Consider the following 25053-nt stretch of genomic DNA (forward strand, 5'->3'; position numbering starts at 1 on the left):
GTAAGAGACAGTTGTTCCCACTCTAATGACAAGAAAAAGCTGTATGGTCTGCAAAATCATACGTGCTTTGATCCCACCAGAGAGCTGAAGTTGCAAGGCCCCTGAGTCAGCTGAAGTCCAAAGCGTGAGAAAACCCCCTATAGAAGGACAAACACATGAAGCAGTTCATCTTTGACAGATAATGGAAGGAAAAGATGGCAGCCATAAATGTTCATTGGAGAAAATCACTGAAGATTTCATCATTTCTTAAAGGCCAAGTGTGAACTATTGTGACAGATTAGAAACTCTGAGAGTCCCAGATACATAGCATGGTTTTGCCCATTTGCTGGGTCCTTCCTCCCACATCCTTAGTGCTGACAAGACACATGTAACAGGGAAAGAGGATTTCTCAAGCTTGCCACAGTGGCGTAGGCATAAAAGTCATGATCACATGATCGACCACCACCAGAGTACAGGCACAAAACCTGGTTGCTTCTCACATAAAACAAAAGGCATCTACCACTGATGTTGGAGCTAGGAACTCGTCCAACCCTTGGCCCCAGGGATAGGGCAACTGCTGAGGTAGGGTTAGACAGAAAAACTGTCTGTATTGGACAAGGGGAGGAGACTTGCTCTTGCCCAAGACTTCCCATCATTGAAAGGTAGTGTTCCGCTACCCCAAGGGGATGTCACAGGAACACTAGGACCCAGGTATCCATGGCCTGAGGCTTGATACACATTCAGTGCAATCAGTAATGTGAGTTGGTTTCGACCAATCATTTGAGTTGGTTGCAGACCCTTTCCTCTAATGAGGAAAAACTGTGATGTGGGTACAAAGTTTCCACGTTCAGAAAGATTGGCCTTGTCCTTTTTTTTTTTTTTTTTTTTTTTGCGTGAAAGTTCCTTCTTAAATACTGACAGCAAGTTTAGAGCCCATCTCAGATCCCTGGCTGTGCTCCATCAGCCCAACAGCCACAGACCCAAAATTCAAAGTAGCCATGCGCCCCGAGAGCCCAACCTGCCTGGCCACGCACAGGCCAGCCATGGTCCCAGGAGTGGGCGTGTGCCCCCGACACCACACAGCTGTGTCCCTCCCTTCCATCCCCCACCCACAGGCAGAGCTGGAAAGATCAGCACCACGGAGAGAGACGAGCATGGCCAGTCCCAGGTCCCCAGGCCGCCCTGCCTACCTGCCCCATCCCTCCCGCACTGTCCCCTCAGAGCTGGGTCCTGGGCTGAGACTCCCCAAACTGTGACCTTCAAGGCTTCTCACACAGCTCACCCCAGCCTCACGGCCTCCAGCTCTGCCGCTCACTGTCCCCACCACACTCTCCCTGGACCCCCACCCCTCCAGCTGCTGGGGCAGGAAATCAAGCCTCCGACTGACCCTCCTGGTGGGACCCCTGAAGAGAAAGGCGTGTAAGGGGGACTCTGTGCACACCTGCGTAAGAGGGACTCTGCACACCTGCAGAACCGCCCATCCCTGGAGCCCGGCCTGCAGTCACCGTCGAGAGGAGAGGCCTGGAGCACAGAGTGGATCCTGGGGCATGGGGACTTTGCCGTTGGCAGAACACGCACCCTGGGGGGAAGGGCCCTGGCTCCATCGTGCCCAGCAAGTACCTGGCCCATATCAGGGACATATGAGTGAAGAACAGACCACCTGGTCCAGTCCCCACTTGCCTGAGGACAGCAGCCCAGACCCCCATGAATGATGAAAGTCCTTCTCTGGGTTGAGCTGAAACCTCCCTTCCTTATCTCCCACCCATGTCCCCCGTCCCCCTGGGAAAGTCTGCGGTATCCAAGGGCAGCCCTGGGCTCCTTCAGCTCTCCAGTCCCCATGGTGAAAGATCCGCAGAGAGGCCAACCCTCCCTTGGGTCGGCTATGCCAGGCGGGCATATGAGAGGCCCCAGGCGTCTGCAACGCTGGCCCGATGCCCATCCAGTGAGCCAGCCCCATGCTGCTTCTATCCAGGGAGTCTCTGGATTTGGGCTCCTCAGGCAGCAGAGCACACATGGAGACGCGGAGACCCCAGAGAAGACCCCACAGGACTGGAGCCCAAGGCCAGGGTCAGCCTCCCAAGCACAGCACAGCCAAGCCCCAGGTCTCACGCCCGGGCAGTGTGGACCCTCACCCCGCACAGAATCAGGGGACCCTGGGGGCTCTCAGTGGGCCCAGTTCTGCCCCCCAGTCCAGGAGAGTGTTAAGAACCCTGAAATGCAGGAAGGAGGCAGAGAGGGAGGGGGGAGACACAGAGAAAGAGAGCGGGGGCATGGGCCAGGCCCTCCATAAGGACCCAGCCAGGGGCGTGTGCTGAAGAGGGGGCCAGGATCCCACCCTATCAGAGCAGCACCTCCTCAGGCTGTTACATCCCCAGCATGGCTGCCAGGCCTGTCCCCACGGACATGGAGGCCCGATGGGAGGCCACTGTCAGGAAGGGGCACCAGAGCTTGGTCACAGGGTCCTAGATCAGCAGCCACCCGCCACCGCCCCACCTGGTCCTCACAGCCACACCACATGGACTGCACGTGGGCCAGGGCCCTGCATTGTGGGGTGGAGTTGGTGGGTTCTCACTGACACGAGGGGGGCTGTGGAGCCCCCAGTCAGGCAATGCCTGGAGTGATCCCAGCCCCAGCCCCAGAACACGGGGGCTCTCCCTGCTTTCCAGGGACTTGTCAGAACTCAGCCCCCGCTCCACCGGTTCCAGCCACACTAGGGGTGAGGGAGGGAGGGTCAGGGCCTACAAAGGCCATTTCCAGCCTCTGGTAGGGAAAGGGAGAGAATGTCTGGCAAACCCCAGCCCGACCCGGCACTGGAGGTCGGGGTGCTGCACCTCCCGCAGGGCTGCAGTCCAAGGACCCCAGGCTGAAGCAGAGCCTGTGGCAGAAGAGTCCCGTCACAGCATGGACACACCCAGCTCGGTCCATGCTCCAACGTGTCCTGGCCCCTCGGGCACAGTGTCTCTTGTCACCTGTGTTCAGACACAGCGTCAGGTCGCCTTGTGGGAAGGCAGCGTCTCTGGGCTGTCACCTGTTTTCAGACACAGCGTCAGGTCGCCTTGCGGGAAGGCAGCGTCTCTGGGCTGTCACCTGTGTTCAGACACAGCGTCAGGTCGCCTTGCGGGAAGGCAGCGTCTCTGGGCTGTCACCTGTGTTCAGACACAGCGTCAGGTCGCCTTGCGGGAAGGCAGCGTCTCTGGGCTGTCACCTGTTTTCAGACACAGCGTCAGGTCGCCTTGCGGGAAGGCAGCGTCTCTGGGCTGTCACCTGTGTTCAGACACAGCGTCAGGTCGCCTTGCGGGAAGGCAGCGTCTCTGGGCTGTCACCTGTGTTCAGACACAGCGTCAGGTCGCCTTGCGGGAAGGCAGCGTCTCTGGGCTGTCACCTGTGTTCAGACACAGCGTCAGGTCGCCTTGCGGGAAGGCAGCGTCTCTGGGCTGTCACCTGTGTTCAGACACAGCGTCAGGTCGCCTTGCGGGAAGGCAGCGTCTCTGGGCTGTCACCTGTTTTCAGACACAGCGTCAGGTCGCCTTGCGGGAAGGCAGCGTCTCTGGGCTGTCACCTGTGTTCAGACACAGCGTCAGGTCGCCTTGTGGGAAGGCAGCGTCTCTGGGCTGTCACCTGTGTTCAGACACAGCATCAGGTCATCCCTGAGCCGCACACTTGCACATGGGCTGCTGCTCCCCTGGGTGGACCCTCCTTGCCCATGGGGACCCTCTGTGGGGCCCTGAGCTGGGCCTGGCTTCTCCCTGAGAAGTGCCTGCCACCATCTGAATTGGCCTGCGTCCACAAAGCCCAAAAGAACAGGAGGCCACAGTGGTTGCCCAGGAAGCTCAGGGTCAGCAGTGCCTCGGCCCCTGAGCTCCGCTGACCAGACTGCCTCCTGGTGCAGCGGCCACACACCCACACACCCTCTCTTCAACCCACAGGAGGCCGGGTCCAGGGAGAAAGCTGGGCTCTAATTACATGTCCTGGAAAGAAATCCCAGTTTAATTTAGACTAAAACAAGAAGCCGTGGTTGGAAAGCTCCCCCGGAGAGCCACCTGCCTGAGCCAGGATGTGTTTCTCTGATGTCCCCAAGGGCCATGGAGGGTAGCACCAGACTGGAGCCACAACAGGGGTGGGGACGCCCAGGGCTTTGGGGTTCTGGGGGCCCTGACTTGTCACCCTGCCCATGTCCCTGACCCCCAGGTGCAACCAGCCCCACAGGGCCAGAGGCTTGACAGGGGCTTCCTGAGGGGCCCGGGAGGGCAGAGGCAGTGACGTGGGGACAGGACTGGGAGCATGGACGCACGTGAGACTGGCTGGGGCACGGAAGGGGAAAGGCACCTGCGCCGATGGGTGACAGACTCCGGAGGCACCACGGGGCTTCCCGTGGGCTCTACCTTTTCTGGGTGTCAGAGCCCACCTGCCACGTTCTCCAGCGCCACTCCCTGGTACAAACCCTCACCACTCCCACCTGGATCACTGCTTCCGGCTCCCACTCTCCTTCCCTACCGTCTACACTGTGCCCCCAGCACCCATCACGAGTCAATTGGGCCACACCTGTGCTCAGAGCCCTCCAACGCCCGAGCCAAGGCCCCCCTGCCCCCACCACCCTCCCAGCCTCTCCCCTGCTGGAGCTGCTCCCCAGGGGCCACCCCACCCCAGTGGAAGGACACACTACACCCCGACTGCCCTGCAACACTCACTGCCTGCCTCGCCCAGGAGGACGCAGCCTCTGAGAGGGCAGGAACGGCCTGTGTTGTGCACTACTGTGTCCCCAGCAACTGGAACAGGGACGAGGAGGTAGTAGCTGCGCTCGACGAGCCCCTTCCTAAGGAATGAGTGAATGGATGACAAGGGGACAAAGAAGGGGTGGATGGAGGGTGGGGCAGGGGGAGTGAGAGGCTGGGGCAGCGGATGGAGGGGCTTCTAGTCCACGCACTCACTCACTCGCTCCCTCTCCCTCTGTCTCACTTCGCACCCCACCTTGGCTGATGGACGTGCTTCCAAATTCAGTGGAAACTTGGACACAGTTAGAGGACTTCCACGCCACCCTTCCTGCATCTGCTGGTCTATGCAGATGCACAGGCCCGCACTCCCGGAGGTCCTGGACTCTGCTTCCCTCACGGCTCCAGGGCTGTCCCCTTTCTGTCCACACTGTCCACTTGTCCTTCCCTCCTGGACTATGCACGTGGCATGGACGGGCTGTAAACCCCCAACTTCATAAAACTCTCCTGGCCTCCATCTCCCTCCTGCCCCTGCCCCTGTCACTCTGCCTCACTTTGCTGCAAAACTCTCTAAAAGACAAGCATTGCCTACAGGTGCCCACCACAACCCCTCTCCTCCCATTCCCAGCAAGCCCTCACCCCCACCACATGGCTGGACCAGCTCCTGCCTCAGACCCACGGGGCGCAGTGCACAGCCTTGGGTCCTCTCGTGGCCTCTGCAGAGGCCTCTGCATGCTCTTCCTTCCCAGAACACCGTCTACGCCAGGCACACCTCCGCTGCTCCGCCAACCTCACCGCCAGCTGCCACTTGTAAGTCCAGGTGCCCTGGTCTCCATCACAGGGCAGCTCTTCCTCCACACTTCCCATTCCCTGGGGATCCTGGGTGGTCTCAAGCTCTGAAGATGACTGGGACACCCATGTCCCTCGAATCACCACCTCCAGCCATACCTCTTCCCAGGCTGCTAGATGGCTCACCCCTCACGCTCTCCAGTCCTTCCTCTGAAGACCCTATGCAAAGTGGCACCTCCAGGCCTGCAACCTGCATGCTTTATCTCATTTCACATGTGGGGAAAAAAAGCCCGCAACTCATCACCATCCACTCATCCGTCCACCCGCCGACTGCTCTCTGGGGCACGCCCATGCCGCAACTCATCACCATCCACTCATCCGTCCACCCGCCGACTGCTCTCTGGTCATCCGTCCACCCGCCGACTGCTCTCTGGGGCACGCCTATGCCGCTGTGCACCACACCAGGCTGCAAAGAGACCAGGCCCGGGAGGTGTCTTGTCCCCAGAACATGGGCCACCGGGCAGAGGTTCAGCTGTCTTCCTTCACTCCTGAGTCCTCAGCACCTGGCAGAGGCTCCATGAACACTGAATGAATGAATGATGAACAGGTGGAGGGAGGGCTGGCAGCAGGGCTGCCCACCTGGCTGGACAGACACAGGGCCAGAGAGCTGAGCAGAGGGCAGGATGGTGGATGGGGCATGGACGGGAAGGCAGACGGAGGCAGGGAAGTGGCGGCCTTCCCGCCTCCTCCCACCTCCTCCCCGTGGCCTGAGGTCCTTAAGAGCTGCGCCCTAGCACTCAGTGGGGCTCTTGCTGGAGTGAACTGCTGGAGGCCCCCATGTCAGACACAACCGGACCCCTGTCCTCACCCCAGGCCCACTCTGTGTGGGGAGCCGGCTCAGCCCCGACCCCACCCTGGTAGCACGGTGTTATTGGAAGCGGGGAAGGGAAGCCTCACTCCTGGGCCCAGAATCTCTCTTGGCAAATGATCCACTCAGACGACCACAGGAGACGGCCAGGCGCCAGGAGCCCTCCTGGAAAGGAGGCAGAGTCCTGTGGCAGGGACCCAGCCACTGTGACCTCACCCCGGCCCAAGCGAGTCAGAGGAGCTCCAGGTGGCCACACATGGGCTGACCCAGTCAAGAGCATGGCTGGGAACTGAGGGCCTGGAGGCCCTGGGCACACACAAGAGCAGGAAGCTGCCAGCAGCCCTCACAGGCCTAGGGTTTCTCAGAAGCACACTCTGATGATCCTCACAGTACCCCAGCCCAGGCCCCACAGCTGCTCCCCAGGGCAGCAGGAGCTCGGCAGCATTACAGCCGACTACAGCCCCCCCACAGCCCAGACGCACTCACGCAGGCTAACAAAGGGTGCCCCAAAGTCCTGGGAGAGAAGCAAAGCGGAGACAAGGGGACAGAGCGCCCGCCTTCCCTCCCAGGTGAGAACACGGAGGCTCAGAGCCTCTCCAGGCAGCAGGAGGCATGGACCCAGGGCCTCCTCCATAGCTCCACACCAGCCTCAGGAGCAGAGCGGCCCCAGCTGGCCTCTGAGGGTGCTCAAGGCTTTGCCAAGCAACAGGCCAGGGTGTCTGCCTCTCCCTCCAACCCTCTGAGCACCAATTAAATCAACTCTAATTAAAAACAACAAACTAATGAGAAATACCGCCCACTACCCACAGGCCCTTGGCTCACAAGGGTGAGGTGAGGGTTCCTCCCTGGGCTCCCCATGGACCAGCACTCGCCCCACAGCAGACCCAGCCCCCTCCACACACAGATACGCACACAGGGGTTCACGTGTCCCCAGGTGCCCCACACGAGAGCAGCAAAGCGGCTCCCTCCTGTGACTTGGAGCCAGCATGTGGCCCCGTGGGACACAGATCACCTCCAACCCGGGGTTCCCTGCACAACCCAGGCTGCCTGGAGGGAAGACGTGTGGAGGCAGAGGAACCTGGGAGCCACCCCAGCAACGCCCAGGCCCTGCTGCAGACACAGGCGAGCAGAGACGTGCCCAAGCCAAGGGAAAGAGGGGCAGAAGAAAAGAGGGAGAGGCAGAGAGACACCAAGACACCAAGAGGGCCAGAGACAGAGAGCGTGGAGAGGAGACAAAGGGCTAGACAGGCAAAGTGGGAGGAGGAGGGAGGGGGAGGGGGAAAGATGGGAGAGGAGGGAGAGGGAGAGAGATGAAGAGAAACAGAAGAGGGAGGCGGGAAGAGGAGGGGGAGGGGGAAGAAGGGGAGGGGAAGGAGGAGCAGCCCTGGACCCAGTCTATGTGTGCTGGGAGATCCAGGGGTCCTGCCCAGGGCTTGGTACAACTCCTCCTGCCTCCTCTCCTGGCCCTCAAGGGCCGACACACTCAGCACCATGGACAGCGCCCCATGAGGCCGGGTCCTGCCGCCTCTACCCAGCTGCCCGCTGGCCCGCACCCCCCAGCACTGCTTACACCCCAACAATTCATTACTTCAGCAGAGGCACACTGCCCCTCCTGGGTGCCCACTCCAAGTGAGGCTCTAGGGACCTCCTGAAAAAAATAAGGCACCGTTGTCCTCAGGGACTTGGGTCCACAGGGAGAGAGAGGGGTAAACAGCTACCATGACTCCTGGGCTGCTTCTGGGAGTGCCCACTGGATGTGGGAGCGCCCAGTCCTCTGAGAGGCCACACTCTCCACCAGCCACCTCCCACCCCAGCCCCCAACGGGCATTGCTAGCGGAACCACAGACCCCCACAGGGCCTTCCATAAATTCTACCCCAGGGCCGTGGAGCCACAGACCCCCACAGGGCCTTCCATAAATTCTACCCCAGGGCCGTGCTGCAGAAAGGCACAGAATCCACCTCAATGCTGCTGTGCCCAGCACATCACAGACAGCTCTGGGGGCTGAGCCTTCCGTGTGACACTCCCAAGCCCAGACAGCTCTGGGGGCTGAGCCTTCCATGCGACACCCCCAAGCCCAGTTCTGTACATGCTGCTCTCATCCAGCAGGGGCCAGCCCCAGGCTCAGGAGCAGGCAGAGCAGATGGGGGCAGCACCCCGGGATCCAGGCAGGCAATGCGAGGCTCCCTCTGAGGGCCTCACCCAAGAGACCAGAGGCCATGTAGCCGACTGCTTCTTCCTCACACACACAGAACCTTGAAGGCATGAGCCCCAGACTCGAGGACTCCACAGCCATCTCCTTCCTCCTCTGCCACCAGCCCAAACACCCCTCCATATACCCTCCTGTGCACCAGGCATCTTGGGGCAGTCACTGGGTGAGGATGGGGCTCTGGAAGGAGAGCTCTCGCCTGCTGTGGGGCCTGCTCCCTCCTCTTCCATCTGGGCTCTGAGCCTCGGAACCATAAGGCTCAGAAAAGAGCAGACAGTGGTCTCTGGCCCAGCACAGGGCCTCTGACACTGAAGCGCTAACAGGCTCTGTGGGGGCAACTCCCCAAGCACTCACTCCCCAGCCACCACTCTCCACACCAGAGCCACAGCAGCCCAGCCCAGCCTTCCGCCTGCCAGTCAGGGAAGCAGGAAAGGGGACCTCACAGTGCCCACTGCACAGGTTGGGGAGTTAACACCCTGGAGGGTGGGGTGCAGAGCACTGGACCTGAGCTCCCATCCAGGCCCCTTGGGTCCATCTTCTAGATGTGCTGGTTACTTTGGCAATCACAAGCTGTTGTTAGGGTAAGTGGTTGAGGAGAAACTGCCGAAGCACCTTCCTGGCACAGGAACTGTGAAAGCACTCGACACACACAGCCTCATCCCAGGCAGCACAAGGGCTCTGAGCGAGGTGGACACCACAGGTGAGCGTCTCAGGCAGGCACAGAATTCAAACCGCCAAGTGCCCCTCCCAGACCACAGGCTTGGGTGAGGCCAGAAGTCCAGCCCTCCTCCTCGCTAGGAAGCCCCTCACCTGGGCAGCAAAGCCACCTCCAACAGGCACCATGCTGGCTCAGGCCAGCCATGGAAGCTGGTGGCCCCTGGCCTGTGCGCTCTGCAAGCCAGCGCCTCCTGGGGACAGGTCACTGTGATCCTTCCGTCAGCGAGAAATACAGCACTGGCACCTCTGGGAGAAGCACCCCCATAGCACACAGGGTGGCAAACAGACTGTCTCACATTCGTTCATCTCCAGCAGGGCTGTGAGGGGACCCCAGTGAAGGGACTGCAGCTGCCCCAGCTCCACGGCGCAACTGAGCTTCAGAGAGCACACGCCCGGGCCGCACACGCTGGGCCTCCTGGCCTCAGCTTGCCTACCCTGTGAGGACGACCACGAAGTCCATGACCTTCCAGCCGTTCCGCAGGTAAGAGCCCTTGTGGAAGACAAAGCCCAGAGCGATGATTTTGATCCCTGCCTCGAAGCAAAAGATCCCGATGAAATAGGGCTCCGTGTCGTCCAGCCGCTCGGACATGGGCGTTTTGTCCCCATCAGGGAGGTGCTGCTCCAGGGCCAGCACGATGCAGTTGGCGATGATGGTGGCCAGGATCATATACTCGAATGGAGGCCACTCGGTGATGCGCTTCGCGTATTTGCGGACGACGTTGTCCTCGCTGAAGACGAAGAGCGAGCGGTTGACGGTGAAGCAGTTCTGCTTGACCGGGATGGGGTTGTACAGCGCCATGGTCCGCGCGCGCTGCGCGATCGATTGCTTGTAGAGGACCCGCTGGCCGGGCTGCAGCCCCCCGGGACCCGGGACCCCCGCCCCGCCGGCCCCGCCGCCCCGGGCCCGCTCTCCGCCGCCGGGGCCCCCATAGCGGCCGCCCAGCTCGTCCCCGAAGCGGACCATGGCTCCCGGGCCCCGCGTGCATCCCCGGCCCAGCGGCCCCGGCAGGGAGGGCGCGGGGCGCGCCAGACGCTCAGAGCGGAGCAGCCACGGAGCCGCCGGGACCGCAGCAGACCTCGCCCGGCCCCACCGCCGCAGCCGCCGCCGCCTCACCCGACTCGGCCTTGTCCTTACAGATATTATATTGATTGGATTTCTCTCAACCTCCTTAAGTTGTGTTTACCATTATTAAAATTAAGTGACATTCACTTGGAAGAAGTGGTAATACAAACAGGTTGTGAGAATTTCTAGTGATTTTTGATCCCAAGCCTTGTATCACTGTTGGGTCTTCATGTGTGTACTTGAAAACAAAACATGTACAATTGTTGCACTGGTTTGAAGATTTTAATGGTGGAAGTGACCTAATCAGTAATCAGTACTGTATCTAGAAACGAATCTTGGAAATATGTGATTATGCTCTTTTAAAATAGCTGAAAAGAAGGCTGGGTGTTGTGGCTCATTCCTATAATTCCACACTTTGAGAGGCCGAGGTGGGCAGATCACTGAAGGCCAGGAGTTCAACATGGTGAGACCCTGTCTTTACTAAAAACACAAAAATCAGCTGGGCATGGTGGTGCCCACCTGTAATTCCAGCTACTCGGGAGGCTGAGCAAGAGAATCCATTGAACCTTGGACTCGAAGGTGGAGGCTGCAGTGAGCTGAGATCCTGCCACTGTACCCCAACCTGGGTGACAGAGGGAGATTCTGTCTCAAAATAAATAAATAAAATAGCTGAAAAGAAATGACAGTGTGTTTACTCTCACTTTGTTCTTGTTTTGTTGTATAGTATTTAAATAAAAGGAGATTATTTATCCTCATACTGAATTTCTAAAAGTGATATTTGCATTTAGCATTTTGTTAAATGATGGAGAGAAAATTTAATTGTCTTACTTTGAAAAGTTTGGCATAGGTTCTGTCACATTTTTGATGCTTTCGATCACAGTTCTGTCATTAGAATGCTGGCAACTAGTTACATGCAAGGAATATCCTAACCACTTTAATACAATGGTTTGAAGTGCTGCAGGCAGTAACTACTGGACAGCAGATCACAGTGACATGAGAGAGAGAAATAGAACTTTCTGCAGTACAAATGTCCTGTGAACTAATCCTTGTGCTATTAGCTTACAGGGCTTAGACTCCTGGGTCTGAAAAAGGCACATACTTCTGCTAAATCTTGAATACTGATGCCAATGAATGCCTCGTCTTCAGACCCTGGGGAAGATGACAATCAAAATGAACTGCTTCCATGAGACACAGAACCAGAAATTGAAACCATTCCATCCCTCTAGGCCCAACAATCCCACATGCACCCTTTTCCACCTCATGCCCCCTCTTCCTCTGGACAGAAGAGGTGGGCACATGAGAATTTTAAGGCTGGAGTCTGAGAGATAAGTTTAGTTCAGAGACTTTCTTTTCTTTCCCTCTTCTCTTTTCTTTTCTTTTCCTTCCTTCCTTCCTCTCTTTCTCTTTTTTTTTTTTTTTTTTTTTTTTTGGTAGACACAATGTTTCACCATATTGCCCAGGCTAGACTCAAACTCCTAAGTTCAAGTGATCCACCCACCCTGGCCTCTCAAATTCAGAGATTTTTCTATAAATTAGACTTTACACTCAGAAACACACTGATGCAAGGCCAGCAACTGGGCCCGTGTGTCAGAATAACAGGGTTTTCTTGAGCATTCATCTGCTTTTTCATAGAAAAGTATAAAAGGTCATGAAAGGTTTTTGAAACTCTTACCTTATGGTTGAACTGATTATAATTAAATTTGTGTATAAGGTTTCATTAAAATTAGCTTTAACATTTTAATACATCACACAAAGGCAAAATTTGGTTTTCTCTTGATCAAAATGTTTGTGTAATATTAATAAAAATTATTAATTATTTTGAAAAATTTTTTAAAAATTTATTTTAAATTTTATTTTAAAAAATAAAAATTATTAATATTAATAAAATAAAATATTTTTGTTTACCTTTTGCCTAAATGATTGACTATTTTAAGGTGACCTGTGATTCTATTTTGTGATATCAAGTCTCTCAAAACTTTGGCTAACTTTCTAAGAGTAAAATTTTCATATTGAGCCTTTTGGGCCTCAAATTAACTTTTTGGATATTAGGTTCTTGAAGTCCAAGAGAGATATATTAGGCTTCTTAGGCTTATTTGTTATGTAGAATTCTGCAAGAAGCATTGTCAAATCTGAGGTGGTGTTTCACTTCCTTTGGGTTCTATTGACACAGATGTGTTGTTAATGTGTGTTCCAGGATAGTATGAGATTCCTAGAGTTCTGCTATGCTGTCAGTAATAATTATGATTATTATGTTAAATTGTGTGTGCCACAGAAGCAACAGAATTCCCTTGTCAACTGTGTCTATAACCATGGCTGTCTTAAGGCTTTTGTTATCCACAATTGTTGTTTTGCTTTGATTCTTCTCAAAAAGTGACTTATAATCAGTTACAGTCCAGGCCTTGCTTCTTTGGGGAAGTCCACGAAAAGGACTCTTGGATGCAGGTTTCTGATAACTTTGGAGATTGTGCCATTGAAGTAAAAAGAAAATTTCACCCAGGGCACTAATAGAAAGGCTGATATGTTCATAAAGATTGCTAGCCCACTATGAAGCAGAGCAGGAGCTGATTGTATGGACTGAACTAATGGAGGACTGAAGTAAGTTTTTATGGTCTTTGTTTGTTTGTTTAAAACATTGTTTATTCTTCAAAGCCTGGAGAACTTTTGTCATTTTGAGCTATTTATAGCCTGCAACAATTGAGTAGAATAGTCTTCTAAACAGAATTTGAGGCATATTTTTCTCTCTCTGCCGAATTTCTCCAGAATTTGTAAACTGAATATTCTTAACTCATGATGATGTGTTTGTTTGCATAAGTTCAATAAGATTCTGTTTTCTTTTATAACAGGACACAGGTGGAGGAACTGGTAATCTTCTCAGGGCTTTGCCTGAAATGGTGTTGTGAAATGTTCCAGCAAAGCCCATTTAGGAGAGCCTATATGGACAAGGATTCTTGCTGCACTTTGTGTGGGTAATCAGGCCAAGTATATGGGACTGAAGCTTCTTTTGCAGGTAGGTTGGTCCTGCTGTGTTTTGTCTTTAGTGGAAATGGGGAACTGGACAGAGGAAGATTGTGTTTCAGGAGAAACTACAGTATTAGATGAATGTTTGATTCCTGGGTGGCCATGCGGTCACCCATGGTGTGGAGCTGCTCAGGATGCCCCTTCTCCTCATGACAAAGCCAGAAAGATGCATGACCAGATTCCCCATGATTGAGGAACTGACAAATAGAAAGTGGGGACTGAAATCGACCCAATAGTCCCACATACAGTGTTTTTGGATAGACTTAAAAATGGACCCTTCTGGTCTTAAAGCTTGAAACTTACATTTGTTTTATCTGAGTTCCTTCCTCAGGAAAGGACCCTCAGCCTCTCAAAAAGCATCATAGACCTGAAACTCAGCAGATCACAGCATCCAGACAATGACTTGCCAGTCCCTTCACTCATCATGAGTGCTTCCTCACCCTTCCCTAGTTCCTCTTTTCCCACACACAGTTACGTTTCTTCCCTGCTGTATAAACCCCTCGTTTTAGTTGATCAGGGAGATTGATTTGAGACTGATCTCCCATCTCCTCAGCTGCAGCACCCAATTAAAGCCTTCTTCCTCGGCAATACTCAATGTCTCAATGATTGGCTTTCTGTGAGCTGAGCAGCAGGGCCTAGACGGAACTCCTGGGCTTTCAGTAACGATGCATGTACACTTTTAAACACTGCAATTAATGGGTCATGAGATATTGAGAAATTGGAATGGCATCAACTTGGCCAATTCTGAGAAAACACACTGTGCTTAAATGTCAGGGCCCTGCCTCCTGACCTCGACAGTATATGGTTGATTTTGAGTCATAGCAGGTGAGTATGGCCTGGTTTCAGTGTTTTATAGAAATATAAAATATGGCTGATCGCATTTATTTTAAATCCAACATATCTCCATTTCTGGTGAGAAAATTTTTTTAAAACCAACCAAACAAACAAACATAGAAGAATATGAATAAAAAAATAAGGGATTCCCTGCTTCCCAATCTCACTTGATTGCTGTCTTCTGTTATATACTAAGGGAGGAAGGGGGCAAGGTGCCCAGGAAGTCCCACGTCCTGTTTTGATAATCATCTGGCCTCCTTGGGCAAACAGAAAACAGGGAAAGCATAAAGAAAATAACAGAAATTTTGCAGAAATTTCATCTCCGGTCTGGGCGCAGTGGCTCACGCCTGTAATCCCAGCACTTTGGGAGCCCAAGGTGGGCAAATCACTGAAAGTCAAGAGTTCAAGACCAGCCTGGCCAACCTGGCAAAACCTCATCTCCACTAAATATACAAAATTTAACCAGGCATGGTGGCCCACGCTTGTAATCCCAGCTACTGCGGATTACAATCACTTGAACCCAGCAGACAGAGGTTGCAGTGAGGGGAGATCGCCCACTGCCACTGCACTGCACTCCAGCCTGAGCAACAGAAGGAGACTCTGTCTCAATGAAAGAAAGAGAGAGAAAGAAAGAAAGAAAGAAAGAAAGAAAAGAAAGAAAGAAAGAAAGTGAGGGAGGAAGGGAGGGAGGAAGGGAGGGAGAGAGAGGAAGGAAGGAAGGAAAGAAGGAAGGAGGGAAGAAGGGAAGGAGGGAGGGAGGGAGGAAGAAAATGAAAGAAAGAAAGAGAAAGGGAAAGAAAGAAAGGAAAGAAAGAGAAAGAAAAAAGAAGGAAAGAAAGACAAGAAAGAAAGAAAGAAAAAGAAAGAAACAAGAGAGACAAAGAAAGAGAGAGAGAAAGAAAGGAAGAAAGAAATTTCACTGTGGCACAGGAAACTCTATGACCGAGGCTTCAAGGGCTCTTCTCTGGCCCTAAACTCACAGTGGATTTTGCCTCATTTTCCGAGGTGCAAATGAAATGATGGAAGTCGATCAAAGGAGAGGGCAGAGAGAAAGTAAGAAGGATGGCTCCTTCCTGCAGGTCCACCTTCCTCGAGTGTTGCTTGTGGGATAATAGAAATGCCTTGACATGGTTGAGTGGGAACTATTGCTACTTATTGGGAATTCAGACGCTTCCGGCAAACTTGCACGATGAGGTTCCATGGTGTAATGGTGAGCACTCTGGACTCTGAATCCAGCGATCCGAGTTCGAGTCTCGGTGGAACCTTTCTGTTTAATTAGGACGGCAATGTTGTGTTTTACTCCCTAAATGGAATGGGGATTCCGCTGACGTTCAGAAACTCTGCGCTGTGGGCCTCCGTGTCCCTTCTGCTCCCGCTGTCTGAGCCTCGCGATGTACCCCGCGCTCCTCGTCCCCTCTTCGTCTCCCTCTTCGGTGTTCGGGGTCCCAGAAACCGGGTTCTCGCAGTGGCCCGGACCACAGGGAAATTGCCGAGTCATCCAGTCGGGATCAGCGAGCCTGCAGGGTCCCCTTCCTGGGCGAGCCTCCTGGCACCCAGCAATCGGAGGCCCGGACACCCCCGCCAGGGACCCAGCGACCCAGGAAGTCCCCACCCCCTCTCAGAGCGACCCTGGGCCTCGGGCTGACAGGTCTCCTCCACTAAAAAGGCTGCTGCCCCTCTATCCTACACCCCGAGATTCCTTTCACTCGGGAATCTCCTAATGGCACCCATTGTCTTTTTGGTAAGTAAACGGTGGCGTGAGAAATTCTGATGGGGTTAGCTCAGTCATTGGAGAGTGTGTCTCAGTTTAGGATCGATGGTTCCAGACCTAACTTGGCAGTAGCACTGCTTTATTCAGATGGCCCATCCTATTCCGAATGTTAATTTGCTCTGTTCTTCATATTCAGATTTTTATGCCGAATTTCTAGCTCCTGCGTCTCTATTGCGGGCCCTAAAAGTCGCTGTTTCACTAAGCTTTGGAACCTGACTCCGGGAAATCTCATTCTTTCGTCCCAAGATCTCAGCCAGAAAGAGAGTTCCGCGCGGCGGCGTCTTCAAGCGCGCGGGCTGGGAGCGCGGGTTCTGATCCTGGGTCGCCCCGGCCGAGCTCCCTCAGGGCCACGGGGAAGAGGAACCTGAGCAGCTCTGAGGGGCGAGTCTCTGAAGATGGGGCTCCCCCTTCTCCCGTCAGGACCCTGCCCCAAGGAGAAGACGCCTTAGTTAAAAATGTTTTCTCCTGCTCTTCAGAGCACTTGGGATGAGGTTCCTGATGGGTCTTGGGAGCGAACTAAGATGTCACTCCAGGCGCTCAGGACCATCGCTCTCATTTTCATATTTTGGGGCTGAGAGCGGTTACAAAGGACTGAAAAATACCGCAGTCTTTGAGGGGCTCAGTTTGGAGGACGAGCCGGGGTTGAGGGGGGTTGACGCCTTCTTGGCTCCTTGGAGTGGACTGGCAGGTAAGGAAACACAAACTCCGTTTCCCCTTGCAGGCAGAACTGCAGGACCTGGGATGGAAAATTGGACAGTCAAAGAGTAACAATATTTATGTAGAGGTGGGTTGCGTGCATTAAAAATTGTTATCCCTACAGATAAGTGTAGGAAGGGACCAGGGCACTGCTGTTCACCACCAGCTTTGCAGCATATGTAACTTTGATAACAGTGTATAGTGCATAAAAATTCATTCCTGTTCACAAATATTTGATCACAACCAGTTACAGGTTTCTTTGTTCCTTCTCCACTTCCACTGCTTCACTTGACTAGCCCTATAGGAAAAAAGAATCATTCTTAAATATGATATTGTTTCAGTTGATCGCCAGCCCGCCCGTTCCCCACCCCCTGAAAGTAGCTGGGACAACAGGTGTGCACCACGTGCTGGGCTCATTTTTGTATTTTTAGTAGAGATGGGGTTTCGCCATATTGGCCAGGCAGCTCTCGAACTCCAGAACTCAAGTGATCCGCCTGCCTGGGCCTCCCTACACCTCCCTGCTGGGATTACAGGCATGAGCCACCCCACTTGGCCATCATTTGTATTTTGAATTTAAATATTTTGTAGTCATCACTCTTCAAAGATTCTGGGTTTTGCTGCATGTGCATGATGGGATTCAGGACATGCTACTCCAAAGTATAACATCTTGGGGTATTGAATATTTTATGCTAAAGGAATATGAGTAAACCACAGAAGCAGGAAGGTCACTGTCACCCTCCCCCTGCCCTTCCTCCCTGAAGTCCAGTATAAGACTCTTATGTGAGAGGTGCCCTCTCTGTACCCAGAGGAAAGGTGCATCCTTGATTCTGAAGACACAGGGACACAGAGAAGAGCCTGAACGCAGAGGCCTGGCTACCTTTCCCCCACTTTGTTACTGTTAGATCATACTTTTATTGACTTATCATACTTCTCCATGACTATTCATTCTTGAATAAACCTACTGTTAAAAAAACAAAAACAAAAACTGAGGTTTAGCTGTTTCCATGGGCCTTCATTTCCTTTGGAAGGCGTTCCTGTCATGTAAAATTTACATTAAATAAATCTGTATGCTCTTCTCTTGTTAGTCTGTGTTTTGCTGTGAGGGTCTCAGCAGCGAACCTAGGCTGGGTGAGAAAAAGTCATATTTCCTCCCCGACATGTACAAATGTCTTCCACTGTAAAGCTATATGTTTTTTTTTTTTTTTGACAGGGTCTCACTCTGTTGTCCAGGCTGGAGTGCAATGGCACGATATCAGCTCACTGCAACCTCCGCCTCCCGGGTTCAAGCCATTTTCCGGCCTCAGCCTCCCAAGTAGCTGGGATTACAGGTGCCTGCCACCACGTCCGGCTACTTTTTGTATTTTTAGTAGAGATGGGGTTTCACCTTGTTGGCCGGGCTGGTCTCGAACTCCTGACCTCAGGTGATCCGCCCGCCTCGGCCTCCCAAAGTGCTGGGATTACAGGCATGAGCCACTGCACCTGGGCAAAACTATAAGAATTTTACTGGGGCAGATTTGAAGCAAGAAATTGAATCATTATTCCCCTTTGGATGAGCTGAACACATGAGCTAATAAACTCCCAGTTCCTCCCAGATAGAAATACTTCTCTAGTTCATTCCCCGAAGCTCCTTGAGGGTCAAACCTGCTGGAGATTGAGGGGCCTTCCTGGGATCTCCCAGCCCAGGAGGTTACTGCTGGTGAGAAGATTGCTGCAGTCTCCCTGGGAGGGTGCACGGCCACTGGAAAGTATCACTGCTGTAACTTCAATACAACTGGTTTTCGTCACATCTGCTCTTTGTGCAGTGTTGCAGGCAAAATACAAGAGCTAACATGCACATGAGTAACACATGCACATCATCAGCTGTGTCTGCAACACAAAGTGCCACATGTCAGGCACAGTTGATTATGTGCATGTGTTTACTCATTCAGTCCTTACCTCAGGCCGAGGTCACACTATCACCTTCATCTTCCATGTGAGATGCACAAAGACGTTAAGTGACCTGTCCAGGGTCACTCAGCCAGCAAAGGAGGATTTGAAAGCAGGAATTTGAAGTGAAGGCAGCCTGTCTCCAGAAGACATTCTCAGAACCACTGCATTTATACTGCTCCTAACAAAACCACCGTTGCAAAAATTATGACAGTGAGAAAAACCTGACATAGGAAAACTATGACTGTGAAAGAAATCTGACCTAACTGACTGCATCTTACTTCTAACCTCTGAGCTGCCTTTGTCCACTCCTGGGCATAGGCCAGGCTAACTATGAGAGAAGTTTAGTTCCAAGTCTAAGTCTGAAACAAAGATGTCTTCCTGAGACAAACTCCTTCCTATCTTGGGGATCAGACCTCCTTAGCAAAGCTAACAAATTAGGTGCGAGATTGGAAATTATTGCTCAGGAGCCATGCAGCCAGAAGCCACATGATTCCTAAGCTCCCCAACTGTGCCTGTATATAAGATTATTGGTGTCAAACCTAAGATTGGTGTTCAAGGTATTTTTCAGACCCTGCCTTATGATGGACTAGCTGGCACACCCAGACCGGTAAACTGGCTCATCTGGTCCTGTGGCCCCCACTCAGGGACTGACTCAGTGCAGTGAACAAGCTCTGACACTGTGATTTCATCCCCAACCCAACCAATCAGCTTTGCACATTCCCTAGCCCCTTGCCTGCCAAACTATCCAAAAAAAAAAGAAAAAGAAAAAAGAAAAAAAAAACCCTAGTCTTTGAATTTTGGGGGAGGCAGATTTGAGTAATAATAAACCCCTGTCGTGGTCCCTCAGCTGCTTCTGCATTTATTAAATTCTTTCTCTATTTTAGAAAGCCTGCTGTTCTCAGCTCCATTGGCTTACCTGGGCAATGGGCAAGATAAACCTACCAGGCAGTTACATTAATAAAAGAGAAACACAAATGGTAAGCATGCTTGAAAAGAAATATAAGTCTGTGTATTTCTTTGGAAGAAACACAAAAGGAGGAGGAATGATAAGACAGGCAATAAATACACTGTCCTAAATATTTTCATGATTCTCCTGCCTCCTTCGTATCCTTCTTATCCCAACAACTTCTCCCCAGAAACCTTCAACTTAAACATGGTCCTGCCAGAACTGGGTTTGTCCTTCCCTTTACATTTTCCTCTCACCTACCCTACACCCCTTCCATATCTAATCTGTTCTTTAACTTCCAGGTCATTGAGAATTTTCCATTTAAAAATATAAAAAATTCATAAAGCGGAAGATAACCAGTCATCCATATTCCCACCTCCTGGAATTAACTACTGTTAACATACCTACATATTTTTCTTCCAAATCATTGTTAAACTACACATGCTAAGCATAGACCATACTAACAGTAGAGAAGATGTAAACATATGTAAAATTTTTGAAAACCTTACGTTCAAAAATAACTTCTCATAACATTTGGGCAACCCTGGAGTTACAGTCTTGTGGTACATCTACAGGGAGAAGAATGTATATTTTAGCTAGACTGTCCCTAAAAGAAAAAGGAAGAAAAAATAATAAAGAAGGATATATATACCTGAAAAAATAATAAAATAATAAAGACGCATATATGTATGCCTTTATAAAATTTAGCTGAGACTCTATTTTTATTTTACAAACATTCCATTTAATAGTGCATGAACTTAACTGCAGACAAAGAGACAGAAACAGAAACGAAGGAATTCCTCAACTCCCGATTACAGTTAGAGAGATATTTTTCTAAAGGAATCTTCTAAGGATAAACGTACACTAAATTAAGTAGAAGACATTAAGATTTGGAGTGGTTTTCTTATTCCTTTTTACAATCAGGTTGATTAAGGTGTGAGTTGACTTTGGTACAATGCATCCATTTCAAGTTTGATGACGTGTCTATTACTCTAAAAGGTCCTCTTGTGCCCTTTGCAGTCAGTTCCGCCCTCCCCCTGAGGCCAGCAGTCAATGATGTAGTTTCTGTCACTATACAGGTTAGTTTTAACTGTTGTAGAAATTCACCTTGATGCCGCCACACAGGGTGCACTCTTTTCATCACTCGGCATAATGTTTTTGAGATGATCCACGCTATTTCATGTTTCCGTAATGTGTCCTATTTTATTGCTGGGTAGTTCGGGTAGTTGGGGTAGATCGCAGCACATTCTGGCGACAGGTGAGACTGCGGTTCTGACCTGCAGGCCTCGGTGAACATGAGCAAGGGCACCTGGGCGCCGGGAGAGACCTCCCTTCCCCTACAGAAAGCAAGCGTGTTATGTTAACAACCGAACGGGGACCCTGCTTTCATCCCAAAGAACAGCACCCGACTGCGTAGTTTCTTCCCTGGCTCTAGGAGGTGAGAACACATTCCCCGCTAGCACAGACATCCTACAAACTCCTGCGGAGGCTGCGGTTAGAAGCAGAGGCTGTGTGAAGGGTGACTCTGGGGGCTATGAAAAAACACGAAGGTTTTCACAGAGCATGAGAACCCAAAAGACTGGAGACTATGAAGCGATCTGCAAAAAGCAGCCCCAAGTGGAAAGGAAAGAGAAGAGCCCTGCGGCCACTTAGCTAGTGTTAAAAGAGCTCACGGCGGCGGAGAGGATAACACGTTACTTTCTGTTTCCCATCGTTGCGACTGTAAGGAGAACACTTAACATGCCACCCAAGCTACAAAACTGCAGTTTTAAGAATAACCCTTGCCGTCTATTTTTTCATTACAAAAATTCAGGGGAAAGCGCGAACGCAGTCCCCCACTACCACAAATTATGCAGTCAAGTTTCCCACATTTGGGGAAATCGCAGGGGTCAGCACATCCGGAGTGCAATGGATAAGCCTCGCCCAGGGAAAACCACCTTCGTGATCATGGTATCTCCCCTGCCAGGTAAGTATGACTTCACACACTTCTGCCCTGTCACAGCCCCATATACCTCACCCTTTACACACATGGTCACTTGCCCCGCGCACCCCCGAGCCTTCCTAGCCCTGACACACAGCTGGGACCCTCAGGTCCGACCAGCGGTCCTGAACCCGCTCCCACGGCACGGGAGCTCCTTCGTGGTGAAACAGCCAGTGGCGAAGCAGCAGCCCCTGCGCTGCCTCATCTACATAGAAGTCGCCCTATCCGTGATGTCACCGACAGCGCCTTCCTCGTCCCGGTCTGCTTTTCTGCCCCACCCTCCGCCACTCAGCCGACCAACATGGTGCCAGAGCCTGCGGGGGCAGTGATGTCTGCCTCTGCCTCCTTTCCCTCTCTTCCCCGCCCATGGTCTTCCCCAAAGAAGCGGGTGTTTCTGTTGTAGTTTTTTGTTTGTTTTTTGTTTTGCGCCGTCTCGCTCTGTCGCCCAGGCTGGAGTGCAGTCGCATGATCTCGGCTCCCTGCAACCTCCGCCTCTCGGGTTGAAGCGATTCTCCTGCCTCAGGCTTCCACATAGCTGGGATTACAGGCACACGCCACCAAGCCCGGCTAATTTTTGTGTTTTTAGTAGAGACGGGGTTTCACCATGTTGGCCAGGCTGATCTCGAACTCCTGACCTCAGGTAATCCGCCGACCTCGGCCTCCCAAAGTGCTGAGATTACAGGCGTGAGCCATCACGACTGCCCAGAAGCCAGTTCTTAGCCTGTGTTGCCGAGGACCTCTTTGGCAGAAATCTGGAGCCTGTCCACCCTTCTTCAAATAATGGCTTGTAATGCGCAGACTAAAACATGGAGGATTACACAAGAAACTGGTTCACTTCACATCATTATCCTTGTGATGTAGCATTCTACTTGAAATTGGAAGCCGTTCGATATCAGAGAAACCATATCTATGAAACTAGAGAGGCTGCTCAGATGACTGCAAACCAGCCATCCTTACTTGTTTTACCACTAGTAGTGTTATAAGGACGGTGGTCCAATTTCAGGAATCTTGTAGGGTTCTTTCAAATACAGCAATGTACAAATATGCTGCCCCAGCAGAGCACACTGGACACTCAGGCATGATGCTGGAGTTTGTCATCTCTTCCACGGCCTTCTCCAGACCTTAGCACTTACCTCATGTTAGCACTTTATGTTCTGCAAAGACAGAAACAAAGTGGTCCAAATTTGGAAAAAATATATATATATTTGGGGGAAACTTTATTTGAGGTGCTTAACAGATTACTTTTAATCTGTAGAATACAACACCAAACTCTGACAATACTCCACAGACTCCAAATCTATCAGGCAAGTTTTTCCTGTCCTTTGCTTTCATATAAACTGAATCATAAAGTGTATAGTGGGTTTTGGGGGAATATAACTGCCCAATGGGTTCATGTTGCCTGCTGCCTAGACAGAACCAATTTATCAAGACAGGGGAATTGCAATAAAGAAAGTTATTTACCCAGAGCCAGCTGTGTGAGAGACCAGTTTTATTATTACCCAAATCAGTCTTCCTGAGTATTCTGGGACCCGAATTTTTAAGGATAATTTGGTGGCTGGGGGCCAGTGAGTTGGGAGTTCTGATTGGTCAGGTCGGAGATGAACTCAAAGGGAGCTAAAGCATCCTCTTGAGCTGGGTCAGTTCCTGGGTGGGGGCCACAAGATCAGATGAGCTGGTTTATCCATCTGGGTGGTGCCAGCTGATGCATCAAGTGCAGGGCTACAAAATACCTCACGCACTGGTCTTAGGTTTTACAATAGTGATGTGATCCCCAGGCACAATTCAGGGAGGTTTAGAATCTCATAAGTTGGAGGCTGCATGATCCTAAACCATCATTTCTAATCTTGTGGCTAATTTGTTAGTCCTGAAAAGGCAGTCTACTCCCCAGGCAGGAAGGGGATTTGTTTTGGGAAAGGGCTGTTATCATCTTTGTTTCACAGCTAAACCATAAACTAAGTTCCTCTCAAAGTTATTTTGGCCTGTGCCCAGGAATGAACAAGGACAGCTTGGATGCTGGAAGCAAGACAGAAGCAGTTAGGTCAGATCTCTTTCGCTGTGATAATTCTCCCAGTTATAATTTTTGCAAAGTCGGTCTCAGGAGCAGAGGCATAGGTTTGACTTCTTTCACTCAGTCTTACATCTATGAATTTTTCATGTTATTCATGTGGTTATTTGTTTCTGTGTGTATTCCTTTGTATGAATATAGGCCAATTTATTTATTTATTCTACTGTTGCTGAACATGTTGACCTAAAAGAAAGAGGCTGAAGCACAAAATAGAATCTAGAGTTTACTTGAGCCAACATGAAGACAGCTGCCTGGAAGACTCACACCAAAAGAACCTTGGATCTGAGCTCCCTTTGGCCTTTGTCACAAGCAGGTTTTTAAAGGTCAAAAGGGGGGATGCACAATGGGCTGACAGAAAGGTGCCTGTCAGGAATTCTCATTGGTTTTCAGAAATAGCATTGATGAGAGCTTGGCTATCCCTTGTTATAGGGTGTGGGATACAGTGTTTGGTGTGGCATTATTAGATTAATTTACAGCTACCTGGGGTGATAGCAAGCAGTTTCAACAGATGAATACATAGCTCAAAAGGAAGGAAGCAGAAAGTGGTTGCTGTCTTGATTTAATGTCTCTCTGATCATGTGAAGTGGCTCACATTCCTCAGATAAAAATTCTTTTAAAAATCTTTCTTCTTTAAAGCATTGATGATCAAAAGCTCAGCCAAGGTGTCCCTCTTTGCCAGGAACACTCATTCCCGGATAGTCTTTCCCACGGTGAGGGCAGGGGAGGAAAGGAGCTGCCTCACTGAGGAATTTTTAAGAGCGCCCCAAAGCCCAATTGAAAGTACGTCACAGAGTAGAAAAAAAAAAAGAAGAAAAGAAAAGAAGAGAGAGAGACTTCAGTTAAATCTACAGCTGTCACTTGTTTAATCATCTCTCGTCTTCAGATACCATAAAATCAGTTTTCTCAGAAGTAAAACAGGAAATATATAACATTAATAATTTGAATAGCACAGATATAATTCACACAAGAATGAGAATCACAAAGAGAATCCGTATGCCAGAACAGTAAGGGAACCTATTCCATTAGGGAGCCAACGAAAAAACATCAGGGAAAACATGACATCCCAGTTCTTCTTTCATGATTTCTTGTAGCCAAATGACTTCTAATTTTTTCTAGATGAGGTTCTATGTCATGGGAGTATTTATTTTTGTATATGCAACAAGAGGTTGTAAACACCACACATCCACCTCCCTGCTCAGCTAAATCTATCATCTAAAGCGGGCTGCGGAGGCTGCTGTTGCTGGGGCTCTCCCCTTGGTGTTCTGGGCTGCGTTGTACTAAGTGGAGAAGGTGGTTGTGGGCAAGCGTTATGCAGAGATCACAACCAGGTGGGCAGGGGGCTGCTCTCTCCACACTATCACTTGACAATGTACAATTCCTTTTATGAACTCTTGTAAGTGCTGCTGTATCTACCCATTGTTTTTGTTTTGTTTTGTTTTTTGAGACAGACTCTCTGTCTCCCAGGCTGGAGTGCAGTGGCA

General features: G+C 51.1%; 2 non-coding genes across 2 annotated transcripts, besides 4 other annotated features; one reads left to right on the forward strand and one right to left on the reverse strand.

Moving 5' to 3' along the window:
• The first annotated feature begins 15377 nt into the window (after positions 1–15377).
• On the forward strand, positions 15378–15449 carry TRQ-CTG3-1 (tRNA-Gln (anticodon CTG) 3-1). Its single transcript has one exon. It is a non-coding gene; the product is annotated as a tRNA-Gln (tRNA).
• Positions 21184–21233: an enhancer, noted in NCBI's record as "active region_1609". NCBI's record gives its function as "activates an Ori minimal core promoter by ATAC-STARR-seq in GM12878 lymphoblastoid cells {active_cell/tissue: GM12878}" and the evidence as "EXISTENCE:reporter gene assay evidence [ECO:0000049][PMID:35858748]".
• On the reverse strand, positions 21337–21500 carry RNVU1-31 (RNA, variant U1 small nuclear 31). The gene has a single exon (NR_189289.1). It is a non-coding gene; the product is annotated as an RNA, variant U1 small nuclear 31 (small nuclear RNA).
• Positions 21394–21573: a silencer, noted in NCBI's record as "silent region_1261". NCBI's record gives its function as "represses an Ori minimal core promoter by ATAC-STARR-seq in GM12878 lymphoblastoid cells {active_cell/tissue: GM12878}" and the evidence as "EXISTENCE:reporter gene assay evidence [ECO:0000049][PMID:35858748]".
• Positions 21394–21939: a biological region, named in NCBI's record as "NANOG-H3K27ac-H3K4me1 hESC enhancer GRCh37_chr1:145969331-145969872".
• Positions 21398–21939: an enhancer, noted in NCBI's record as "NANOG-H3K27ac-H3K4me1 hESC enhancer chr1:145969331-145969872 (GRCh37/hg19 assembly coordinates)". NCBI's record gives its function as "activates a minimal SCP1, AML or CMV promoter by ChIP-STARR-seq in naive and primed H9 embryonic stem cells {active_cell/tissue: H9 hESC(naive and primed)}" and the evidence as "EXISTENCE:reporter gene assay evidence [ECO:0000049][PMID:30033119]".

Source organism: Homo sapiens, chromosome 1 (genome assembly GCF_000001405.40).
Source record: "Homo sapiens chromosome 1, GRCh38.p14 Primary Assembly".
Lineage (NCBI taxonomy): Eukaryota > Metazoa > Chordata > Mammalia > Primates > Hominidae > Homo > Homo sapiens.